The 12,442-nt window shown below is 47.0% G+C and overlaps 1 protein-coding gene across 9 annotated transcripts in view, besides 3 other annotated features; it reads right to left on the bottom strand.

Moving 5' to 3' along the window:
* The window catches only part of NDEL1 (nudE neurodevelopment protein 1 like 1), a 61,198-nt gene that overhangs the window by 37,842 nt on the left and 10,914 nt on the right, over positions 1-12,442 (bottom strand). For 7 of the 9 annotated variants that reach the window (XM_017025183.2, XM_017025186.2, XM_017025184.2 and 4 more), the window contains exon 1: positions 442-603. The exons of 1 other annotated variant lie outside the window; for it this stretch is intronic. The gene's annotated coding sequence lies outside the window, so the exon portion shown is untranslated. Of the gene's footprint in view, positions 1-441; positions 604-12,442 lie in introns of those variants that run through there. One more of the 9 variants, XM_047436860.1, reaches the window with a different exon arrangement.
* Positions 50-289: a silencer, noted in NCBI's record as "silent region_8184". NCBI's record gives its function as "represses an Ori minimal core promoter by ATAC-STARR-seq in GM12878 lymphoblastoid cells {active_cell/tissue: GM12878}" and the evidence as "EXISTENCE:reporter gene assay evidence [ECO:0000049][PMID:35858748]".
* Positions 330-529: a silencer, noted in NCBI's record as "silent region_8183". NCBI's record gives its function as "represses an Ori minimal core promoter by ATAC-STARR-seq in GM12878 lymphoblastoid cells {active_cell/tissue: GM12878}" and the evidence as "EXISTENCE:reporter gene assay evidence [ECO:0000049][PMID:35858748]".
* Positions 630-799: a silencer, noted in NCBI's record as "silent region_8182". NCBI's record gives its function as "represses an Ori minimal core promoter by ATAC-STARR-seq in GM12878 lymphoblastoid cells {active_cell/tissue: GM12878}" and the evidence as "EXISTENCE:reporter gene assay evidence [ECO:0000049][PMID:35858748]".

The raw sequence follows: 12,442 nt of genomic DNA, 5'->3' as shown, positions 1-12,442 counted from the left end.
AAAATGCAACCCCGCTCCAAGCCACCCTCGCAAATGAAGGAATTTCGAAGAGGGGGTAGGAGGAGGCGGGCTGGGCGCGCCGCTGCCACCTCCGACTGGGCCACTCCTTGCGCCGCCAGCGCCCCAGCCCACGGTGCCACGTCCCGGCCTCCGTCACCGCCAGCCCTCACCCTACCCGGAACGGGGCACATCTTCCGGAGGCCACCGGAATCGTTCCCTTGCAGGCGCCCCTGGGGGGCCACACATCGGACCAGGGAAGGGAGGGGACAGTTAGAGCGGTTGGAACAGTTGCCCCCAGGCTGGCCGCCCCGGAACCCGGCCCGGCCCGCCCCGGCGGAGCCTCAGACACGGCCCCGGGCCGGGAAGGCTCCCCAAGGGCAGGCCTCGGCGCCGCCGGCCCAGCGCAGCCCCTTAGGGAGCGGCCCCGCGCTGCAGGCTCACCTCCAATGTGTCAAAAGCGCATGTTCGCCGCCGCTCAACCGACGTCTCCCCTCCGCCGGCCCGGCCAGGCCCGCCCAGCCGCTCGGCTCAGCTCCCCTACGCAGCCCCGAGCTCCACTCAGCGTACCTCCGCGCCCGGCTCCTCCCCGACACGTCAGGGACTGCCTGGGTGTCCGAGGCCATTCTGTGACGCACGGGGGCGGGGCTCGGAGCATGCGCGGCAGCGCACGGGTATGCGGGGCGGGGTGGGGCGGGGCTGGTGTCACAGGGGGCGGGCCAGAGCCCGGCGCGCTGACGCCAAGCTGACGGCGTCCTCTTGCGCAGGCGTCCTCTTGCGCAGGCGCTCCTGGACTCTGCGACCGGCTGGTTTTGGCTTGTGCAGTTCCCTGAAACTGCTATTCGGGAGAGTGGTGCCAAGACGGATGGGAACCTGCCTTCAGTTTTCTGGCCACCAAGGCCCTTCAAGTGTCCATGTGTCTGTGTTCCCGTTTATAAAATGAATCTCGGCTCATAGTTCACCTCCGAGTCCATTCCCCCTGCTCGAACACCCAATGGAACATCAGGAGCATTCTAAGCATCACTCTCACAAAGCTCTGTGTTGTTTTTACAGAACTTCCACTGTTTACATTTTGTATTTGTTCTCATCTTCCTCCAGTAGAATTCTAAGTTCTATGAGAGCTAGAACCTCTTATGCCTTGCTCATCCCAACAGATAACTTGGTTCTAGGCAAAGTGGACGCTCAAATATTTGATGAATGAATGAATGGATTCGTTGGCACAAAGGGGATTTTATATTTGCCCATTTATATATTGTATATATCTGAGCATATATTCATTTTTGTATACATGCGTGTACGTGTGTGTATGGGTGTGACTTTCTCCCCTCCAGGTCCCCCAAGAAATGGAGTCCTATGTGTATATATATACCTCTTACAATCCATCTTGGTTTTTGTTTGTTTGTTTGTTTGTTTGTTTTTGAGACGGAGTTTCGCTCTTGTTGCCCAGGCTGGAGTGCAGTGGCGCGATCTCGGCTCACTGCAACCTCCGCCTCCCAGGTTTAAGCAATTCTCCTGCCTCAGCCTCCCTAGTAGCTGGGATTACAGGCGCCTGCCACCACGCCCGACTAATTTTTGTATTTTTAGTAGAGACGGGGTTTCACCATGTTGGCCAGGCTGGTCTCGAACTCCTGACCTCGTGATCCGCCCGCCTCGGCCTCCCAAAGTGCTGGGATTACAGGCGTGAGACACAGCGCCCGGCCCCATCTTGCATTATTAATGTTTATATATTTTTAGTACGTAAACACACACGTGTATGTGTGTGTGCGCGCGTGTGTATTCCCTAGCGGACTTGGAAGCAAGCTGGAGACGATACTAGCCCAAAAAGGAGGGAAAGAGGGATAGGCAACTTACATAGGGAGTGGAAACTTAAAGGAAGAGATACATTTTAAAAACAATTTTAAGAACTTTTGCTGTATAATGTACAAGGTAATCCTTTCCTTTAGGAGATGGGGTCTACTGTGTTGCCCAGGCTGGTCAAGAACTCCTGACTTCGGCCAGGCGCTGCAGCACTTTGGGAAGCCGAGGCGGGCAAATCACCTGAGGCCAGGACTTCGAGACCAGCCTGGCCAACATGGTGAAACCCTGTCTCTACTAAAAGTACAAAAATTAGCCAGGCATGATGGTGGGCACCTGTAATCCTAGCTACTCCGGAGGCTGAGGCAGGAGAATCGCTCGAACCCGGGAGGCGGAGGTTGCAGTGAGCACCACTGCACTCTAACCTGGGCGACAGAGTGAGACTCCGTCTAAAAACAAACAAAACAAAACAAAAAAGAACTCCTGACTTCAGGCAATCTTCCCACCTCAGCCCCCCACAAAGTCCTGGGATTACAGGCACCAGCCTCCATGCGGCACGCAATGTAATCCTTTCCAATTTCAGTGCTTTTAGGATTGGATTTGTGGGTGTGAACACAAAAATAATGTGTAAGACATGCCTCAAGGTGAAAACAAAGTGAGCCTAGGAGGCCCAGTTTATATTTTTGAGGGCGATGGACATAAACAGGAACAATGCAAGATGGATTGTAAGAGGTACCCAAATCAATAAAGATCAGAGAAGGGATTAATGGGGTTTGTGGGAAAGGTAACATATTACATATGCCTATTATGAATAATATTATGAATAATATGCATATTATGAAAAAACTATGCATGGATTTCCAATTTTTTTTTTGCACAGGGCCAAGCATGGTGGCCCATACCTGTAATCCCAGCACTCTGGGAAGCTGAGGTAGACAGATCACTTGAGCCCAGAAGTTCGAGACCAGCCTGGGCAGCACAGTGAGACACCTGTCTCTAAAAAAATAAAATAAATGTTTGCACCAAAATAAATTTGTTCTAACTTGCTATAACATGTCTGAACAGGATCTAGCTTGAAGCACCAAGAAAGATAAGAAATCAGTTTGAAGAGAGTCCCTATCAGAACACATATTCTACAAAATTGAAGCAATACAAAATACTAAATTTATGGTGAAGCCTGGGTGGAAAAATGGTGGAATCATTGACGCTTTATAAAAGTGTAAAAGGACAAAGCCCCAAAAGAAGTCAGCAGTTTACAAATGGATAATTCATTTTAAGAAGAAACATGATGATGTTGAAGATGAAGCCCACAGCAGCAGACCCTCCACATCAATTTGTGAGGAAAAAAAGTAATCTTGTTCATGTGCTAATTGAAAAGGATCAATGATTAACAGCAGAAACAATAGCCAGCACCACAGATATCTCAACAGATTTGGCCTACACAATCCTTACTGAAAAATTAAAGTTGAGCTAACTTTCCACCCAATGGGTGGCAAAACCATTGTGCCCAGGTCAGCTGCTGACAAGAACAGAGCTTTCAAAATTTCACACATTTTAAACAAGTGGGATCAAGATCCTGAAGCTTTTTTTTTTTTTGAAGAATTGTAACCAAGAATGAAACTTCGCTTTACCAGTACAATCCTGAAGACAAAGCGGTGGCTACCAAGAGATGGAAGTAGTCCAGTCAAAGCAAAGTGAACCAGTCAAGAGCAAAAATCATGGCAACCATTTTGTGGGTTGTTCTAGGCATTTTGCTTTCTGGAGGGCTAAAGAATAATAACGTACTTATTACGAGAGTGTTTTGAGAAGATTAGCCAAAGCTTTAGTGGAAAAATGCCCAGGAAACCTTCATCAGAGAGACCTTTCCACCATGATAAAGTTCCTGCTCATTTCTCTCATCAAACAAGGGCAATTTTGCAAGAGTTTCAGTGGAAAATCAGTAGACATCACCTTACAGTCCCAATTTGGCTCCCTCTGAAGACTTTTTGTTTCCTAATCTTAAAAAATCTTTAGGCCAGGCGCAGTGGCTCATGCCTGTAATCCCAGCACTTTGGGAAGCCGAGGCAGGCGGATCACGAGGTCAGGAGATCGAGACCATCCTGGCTAACACGGTGAAAACCCGTCTCTACTAAAAATCCAAAAAATTAGCTGGGTGTAGTGGTGGACGCCTGTAGTCCCAGCTACTTGGGAGGCTGAGGCAGGAGAATGGCATGAACCCGGGAGGCGGAGCTTGCAGTGAGCCGAGATCGCGCCACTACACTCCAGCCTGGGCAACAGAGCGAGACTCTGTCTCAAAAAATATATATATATTGGCCTGCCATTAAATATATATATATTTATATTTATATTTATATATAATATATATATTTATATATAAATATATATATATATCTCTTTAAAGGGTAGCCATTTTTCTTCAGTTAATAATGTAAAAAAGACTGCATTAACATGCTTAAAATCCCCAGATCCTCAATTCTTTAGGGATGTACTAAATAAATGGCTGATATCATGGTTACGAAAGTATCCTGACCTTGGCTGGGCACAGTGGCTCACACCTGTAATCTCAGCACTTTGGGAGACCTGGGGCGGGTAGATCACTTGAGGCCAGGAGTCCAAGACTAGCCTGGCCAACATGGTGAAACCCCGTCTCTACTAAAAATATAGAAAAATTAGCTGAATGTGATGGCATGTGCCTGTAATCCCAGCTACTCAGGTGGGTGAAGCTTGAGAACCGCTTGAACCTGGGAGGTGGAAGTTGCAGTGAGCCAAGATCATGCCACTGGGTGACAGAGCAAGCCTGTTTCAAAAAAAAAAAAAAAGGTGTCTTGACCTTGAGGGAGCTTACGTTGAGAAATAAAGTTTATATCTTTTAATTTTATCTTTTAATTCCATTTTTCTATGAACTTTCCGAAGTTCTCTTGTATGCACTGGCAACTGTGCTAAACACTTGGTCTGCTTAATTTCATCCTCACAGTAATCCCATGAGATAGGTAGTGTTATTCCCATTTTTTAAATGAGGAAACAGACTCAGCAAGATGAAGTTTCCCAAAGTCTCTCAACTAGAAAGATGAGGCCTCAAGCCTCAAACCCACCCTGTTCGAATTGTCTAACTCTCCAGAAAACACACTATTAACAACTATTATATTGCTACTCAAGAAGGGGGAGTATTAGCAATTACTACCATGTATTGGGCTAGAGCACTGTGCTAAGTGCTTTACATGCTTTCCCTCCCTCAGTCCTCACAATGAGCCTGTGAGGCTGTGATTATTGCTTCCATTGTACATATTGTAAACTGAGACCCAGAGGAGCTAGGGCTTAAACTCAAGTAGGTCTTACTTCAAGGCCAGTGGCCTGGGACAATGGACTGGTACAGCTCGTTCAGGCTCTGGGGCTCTGCTTCCCTGGGTGAAGCTGTGCTCTGGCTGATGAGATCACAGACAGGGAGGGGATGAATGAAGGCTTTCCTGTGGACCTGGTGCCAAGACAAAACAGTCCTATCCCAAGAGGAAAAAAATTAATAAGGGCTGCGGCTCTCTCCCTGCCTCCTGGCTGAGGTGCTGGGAAACGCACTGAGTCATCTAATGGCAGGCCAGGCCCCTCGGAAAATGTTGGCATCATCTTCCAAGCTGCCACCCCTCCCACGCGGCCTGGACCCAAAACTGGTGTTTGTCAGGACTGGACTATTGGCCTTATCTTAATGAACGGGCTTTGCCTGGCAGGATTCTAAGAGGTGCCGAAGGGCCCAAACTGATGTAATTCCTTCCCCCTTGTGGTTGAGCTTTCTCCCTGGGAGATGGGCCCAGGGGCTGGGCATGGCAATTAACCATCAGCAACCTTTGCCCCAGCCCCTGCTTCCAATATACCAAATCCAGAAAAAATAAAGTGGAAAGGAAGATGGAAATCAGCCCCGAAAGGGAACAGAAGTTATAAAACCAGCCCTTGTGGTGGTAAAAAAGGTGAGTGAGGGCTGCCCTACCCTCTGCCTTTATAAATCATTAGGAAGGGGTTTGCCGAGGCATGGGTCCCAGTACAAGGTCTTTCTTGGATTGAGCCAAAGAGGTTAATGTCACAGTCCCTGAGAGCATGCATGAGGATCCCAACATCTCTCCTGTCACAAACTCTGAGATTCAGGAAACAGAGGCCAGATTCCACCACTGGGAAGGGTGGAGGTTGACCGGCTACCCTAAGAGAGATCTGGGTACAAGCCCGAACCCTAGCTAGTAAAGATGCTGGACTTCGGCCACATCACACACTCACAGAAGGTGATATGTAATGCACACAGGCCCACTGTGGAAATTCTGACGAGATGGGGCATACTTAACTCTACTGAATCAGGTGAGCAAGACATCTCAAAATCAGCTTCAACCTAATCTCTCTCTATTCCTTTGGCCAGCATTTTTTGCTAATCTCTAAGGGTATAGATCTAGCTGGGCAAGGGACACCCACTGACTGGCCAGTTGCTAATGGTCTGGCAGATATGTCCACCAGATGTCCCACCACCACCTCCAGCTCTACATGCCGAAACCCCAAACAGATTTTCCTTTGCCCCAACAGAAATTTCCAAAACAATTTTCATGTTTCTGCCAATGGTGCCATCATTCCAGTCAGTGAAGCACAAGGCACTCATCAAATCCCCCTAATCATTTCCCTCCCCAGCTTGCATCTCACGCATGTGGTCACCAAAGCCCAAAGACTTTCCCTTCCTAAACTCAAGTAAATCTAGTCATATTTCAGTACTTTCTTCCCACATCGCCCATAATCCAAAGTTTCTTATTTGTCTGTCCCTCTCTCCCCAAACTTCTCTCCCTCGAATTTCTTCTTGTTTCAGCCCAGCAGTCCACACATAACCATAAGAATAATCTTTCTAAAATCTCACTGTATGCAGAGCATCCCTGCCTCCAAAACTTGTTTTGGCATCTTGTTACCTTTGTGATAAGGAACAAAGTAGTCTCATACTCAAGGCCTTCCCAAAGCAACTCCAGCCCACTTCTACGGTCTATATCCTATGGATCACCTCTCTAGGTCTGGCCAGACCCACCAGCATGGTCCCCCAAATAGATGATTCCCTTCCTCTATGGGCCTATCTTGTTGACTTCCCCTGCCCTTTACACTGCAGCTGCTGCCTAGGCTTGGCCAACCCACCTTCTCCTCTGCCTTTTGAAGTCTCACTCATATGCTAGCTCCTCCAGGAAGCCTTCCCTGATACTCAAAGTCCCAAAGTGAGCACTCCTTCCTCTGAGCTCACATGGAGCTCTACACAGTTCACAAGAGACTTATTAAACATGGCCTTTTGGTTACAGAGATGTCCAATCTCCCCCAAGAAACCAAAACTCACTGAGTGTAGGGACAGTGTTGATTGTCTTAATATATCCCCAGCAACAGGCACTTAGCAAACACTCATTTAATATGCTTCAACGAAAGTGAAAGAATGAACCAATGGTCTGGTGGCTATAACTTCAAAGGCAAGACTGACAGAACATTCTGGAAAATACCCCAAATCCTGAAAAAAGTCACCATAGACAGAGATTTTCGCTGGTATGAAAGGCTGAACTTAGATGATATAGGTTACAAAGGAACTAAGATTTGGGTCATAGGCAACTATGCCTTTTCTCTAGCCTAAATCTTAAACCCAGGCCATAGCGTCTATAATCCCTAATGCAATATCCTTTGCTTTTGTAATTAAATAATATTAATAATAATGTGTTTTTAAAATCTTAAAAATAGGCCGGGCGCGGTGGCTCATGCCTGTAATCCCAGCACTTTGGGAGGCCAAGGCAGGCAGATCACAAGGTCAGGAGATCGAGACCATCTTGGCTAACACGGTGAAACCCCGTCTCTACTAAAAATACAAAAAATTAGCCGGGCGTGGTGGCAGGAGCCCGTAGTCCCAGCTACTCGGGAGGCTGAGGCAGGAGAATGGTGTGAACCTGGGAGGCGGAGCTTGCAGTGAGCCGAGATCATGCCACTGCAGTCTGGCCTGGGTGAAAGAGACTCCATCTCAAAAAAACAAAAATCTTAAAAATATACACTTGGGGCCAGGCATGGGGGCTCACACCTATAATCCCAGCACTTTGGGAGGCCAGGGTGGTCAGATCACGAGGTCAGGAGTTCGAGACCAGCCTGGCCAGTATGGTGAAACCCCATGTCTACTAAAAATACAAAAAGTAGCCGGGTGTGGTGGCACATGCCTGTAATCCCAGCTACTCGGGAGGCTGAGGCAGGAGAATTGCTTGAACCTGGGAGGCGGAGGTTGCAGTGAGCCAAGGTCACACCACTACACTCCAGCCTGGGCAACAGAATGAGACTCTGTCTCGGAAAAAAAAAAAAAAAAAATACACACACACACACACACACACACACACACACACACACCACACACACTTGAGCCTTGAGGCGAGAAGTGGTTTTATATAGAGAGAAAAGTCTTTCATTCATTAGCAAGGAGTTTAGTGCCTGCTGAGGACCAGGCACTGTTCTAAGCCATGGATATCCCACCACAACTTTAAAAAGCACCCCCAACCCCTACCCAATATAATTAGCTTATATTCTAAAGGGAAAATAGACAACAAGCAAGCAGACTAATCTATTTCTGCCAGGTCATGAGAAATGCTATAAAGAAAAACAACCATGGCAAAGGATATAGTGTGGCAGGGCTGCTCCCTGAGTGAAAATAGGGCTTCATATTCATAGGATTCTCTTCCTCCGTAAAGTTGTCAAGGCCCTTAAAACCAAAGACTGCAATATAAGATGTAACCAAGATGTGAAATTTTAAAAGAACATAAAAGTACATGCAAATGCCTTAAATAGAGAAATGCATCTTAATTTTTCATCATAACACTTGTCACTGAGTGGGCACTCAATAAATATTGGTCGTATAAATGGCTTGCTGGGCAGTCCACAGAATGCCAGAGCCTTCAACCAGGAGATTAATTTCCCCCTCCAAGACTTTGGGTGGTTTTATTGTTTGTCTGTTTTTTGTTTTTGTTTTGAGACAGAGTCTTGCTCTGTCGCCCAGGCTGGAGTGCAGTGGCGCGAGCTTGGCTCACTGAGACCTCTGCCTCCCAGGTTCAAGCGATTCTCCTGCCTCAGCCTCCCGCCCCCGAGTAGCTGGAACTATAGGCCTGCACCACCACACCCAGCTAATTGTTTGTATTTTTAGTAGAGACGGGGTGTCACCATGTTGGCCAGACAGGTCTTGAACTCCTGGCCTCAAATGATCTGCCTGCCTCGGCCTCCCAAAGTCCTGGGATTACAGGCATGAGCCACCATGCCCAGCCTCCCTTCCAAGACTTTGAATGGTAACCAACTCATGTCCGATTCAAAAATGCTCACTATGGTTCGGTCCCTGACCCAGCCAGCCACAAACAGCCAGCCTGGGCTATTCCTATACCCAGGAATAGCCCAAAGGGAAAGAAGGTTCTATTTGTTGTCTTTATTGCATCCTCATTAGCTTCTGGAGCAAACAGAGCTCACCGACCACTCAAAGCAGCTCAGACTCCCAAACCTCAGCTCTCCCATCAGTTTATCCCCACACTTTCAAACTCCAGTTGGCTGTAAGTCAACAGAAAGGCTGGAATTGGGTAGAGATGAATTTGCTATGCAGTGTCTTAGGTTCCAAGCCCCCTTCCCTTTCCTTCCCTTTCCACTGTGCCTGAGAATGCGGCCTGCTTCTGGCCCTTGGCTCCCTTGCCAGGAAGGTGCTTTGCCTTGTGCAGGCCGCCAGGTGTAGCCTGCTGGAAGGTGGCTTTTAGAAAAGAGAAAAATGAGAACAGTTTAGGTTGCGGCTGAAACAGGCCTTCCTATGAAGGTCCTGCCCTGGGTGATGGTACCTGGAAAGAAAGAGACCTCATCCTTATCTGGGGGGTAAACTGAGGTTTCAAGAGCCTTTAATCCCCTATTGAGGTTTGTCTGGCCTTTTCTCCCCTATTGATGGAACTTGATACCCTGCCATGCTCCCATGAATCTCTGGCTGGTCCTAATTTCTTCCCAGAAGGCTCCCTTAACTGTGGACTTCCTGCTGATCTGGAACCTCACGGTTTTCCTGACTTCCCCAAGCTTCAGGCTTCACTATCATCCTTGGCTCTCATCCCGACCACGTGACAGGCACTACCCACACCCCAGAGTGGCAGCTGCCTCCCAAGAAAAGGATGGCATGACACTGTTAATTGCCCATTGGGTTAACACCTGGCAACCCCAAGGGCTGTTGACATCACACCTCCATAAACAGTGTGACTGTCCCTGGGAAAAAATGATATGTGCTCACATACCTTTATACAGACAAGGTGGCGCCAGGTTTACCTACTCCCAAACTAGACTAATGAAATGACGGGGCTGAAAAGAAATGGAGTGTTTCTTACCAGTCTAAGCTTATTAAGCAATTTTAGCCCGATTCCCATTACCAGGTAAGCCAATGAGTCAAAGTTGCCAGGACCAAAAGATCATGCTTCCAACCATTCAACAAATATTTAATGAGGGCCTGGCCCTGTTCTAGATGCCTGGCATAGCACAATTAACAAAAGAAGCTAAATTCTTTCCTTCCTGGAGATTTTCTAAAAATGAAAAAACAAAAAGAAGGAAAATAGAAGGGAAACAGAAATAGACAGAGAGGCTGGGCTCAAGGGCTTACTCCAGTAATCCCAACACTTTAGGAGGCTAAGGTGGGAGGATCACTTGAGGCCAGGAATTCAAAACCAGCCTGTGTAACATGGCGAGACCCATCTCCACGTAAATTTAAAAATTAGCTGGGCAAGGTGGCTTACATTTGTAATCCTAGCTATTCTGTAGCCTGAGGTGGGAGGATGGCTGGAGGCCAGGGATTTGGGGCTGCAGTGAGCCATGATTGTACCATGGGTTGGTTGCCTGGGTAACAGAGCAAGACCTTAACTCAAAAAAGAAAAAAGAAAAAAAAAAAAGACAAAGAACCCTGAGTATGCCAGCAGTAACAAGTGCTAAGGAGAAAAAATTAGTCAAGGTTTTTTTAATATTTTACATTTAAGGTAGCATCTAGGGCAGCGGCCATGACTTATTTATCTCTGGCCCCAATGCCTGGCATGTTATGGGCAGTTAACATTTATTCAATGAATAAAAGCTTTCAATGATTTTTTTTTTTTTTTTGAGACAAGGTCTCACTCTGTCACCAAGGCTGGAGTGCAGTGGTTCTCTCACAGTTGACTGCAGCCTTGACCTCCTGGGCTCAGGTGATCCCCCGACCTCAGCCTCTCAAGTACTTGGGACCACAGGCATGTGCCACCACACCCAGCTAATTTTTGTACTTTTTGTAGAGATGGGGTTTCACCACGTTGCCCAGGCTGGTCTCAAACTCCTAGGCTCAAGCGATCCTCCACCTTGGCCTCCCAAAGTGCTAGGATTACAGGCATGCGCCACTGCGCCTGGCCTCAAAGCACTTTTTTAGTTTAGAACTCTAATAAAGAACTTCCCTTTAGAAACAAGCAATAAGAAGCAATTGACAAAATTTTTAAATGCAGGTGGCTAAGAAACATGTGAATCATATCCTGCCTTGATCCTAATCAAACACATTCAAAGTAGGATAGCAAAGAAGAGAGTCTATATTTCATCCAACAGGTATAAGAGATTCTAAAACATTAGACTACAAATGCATACAAGAGCACTGAGAAACGAGCACCCTCGTGAAAAGGGCTAAGGAGGATGTCACAGTTCTTGGTAAGCAGTTTAGCAGCCTGTATCAAACACTTAGAAACGTGGAACCTCGGCTAGGCATGGGGGTTCACGCCTATAATCCCAGCACCGTGGCAGCAAGGCAAGAGGACCGCTTGAGCCCAGGAGTTCAAGACCAGCCTGAGCAAGACAGTGAGAGCCCGTCTCTACAAAAAATGTAAAAGGAATAAAAACTTTATATTAAAAAAACAAAGGGCTGTGGGCGCGGTGGCTCACGCCTGTAATCCCAGCACTTTGGGAGGCCAAGGCGGGTGGATCACGAGGTCAGGAGATCGAGACCATCCTGGCTAACACGGTGAAACCCCATCTCTACTAAAAATACAAAAAAAAATTAGCCAGGCATGTTGGCGGGTGCCCGTAGTCCCAGCTACTCAGGAGGCTGAGGCAGGAGAATGGCGTGAACCCGGGAGGCGGTGCTTCCTGTGAGCTGAGATCGCGCCACTGCGCTCCAGCCTGGGCGACAGAACAAGACTCCGTCTCAAAACAAAAGAAAAACAAAACAACAAAACAAAACAAAAAACAAAGGTGCAACCTTTGTGATCCAGCGTTCTGCTTCTAGGAATTTACCTAAAGGGAAGTATTAAGGATGTGTGCAAATTGTCCAACAGGATGTTCATCAAAGCATTGTTTAGCAAAAAATTAGGAACAACAAGGACTAAAGGACTAATGAAGTGGAATGATGTAATAGCTACACAATATAATAGTAACCAAATGGTAACAACGTTACAGAAGAATATTAATAAGGAAAATGTCCACAATATGCAGTTAAATGAATCAAGCAATTAACTCAACAATCGGTATGGGATCCCATCTTTGTAAAGTAGAACAACATACATACGTTATACGTTAGACAAAGGGTCTAGGGACAAAAACACCAAAATGAGGTGAGATCACAGTCTAATCTCTCTCTCGTCTGTTCTTCCTTCCTTTTTTTCTTTTCTGTATTTTTATCAAA

Source organism: Homo sapiens, chromosome 17 (assembly GCF_000001405.40).
Source record: "Homo sapiens chromosome 17, GRCh38.p14 Primary Assembly".
Lineage (NCBI taxonomy): Eukaryota > Metazoa > Chordata > Mammalia > Primates > Hominidae > Homo > Homo sapiens.
The sequence above is the reverse complement of the archived record's forward strand: the minus strand, read 5'-3'. Positions and strand labels throughout refer to the sequence as shown.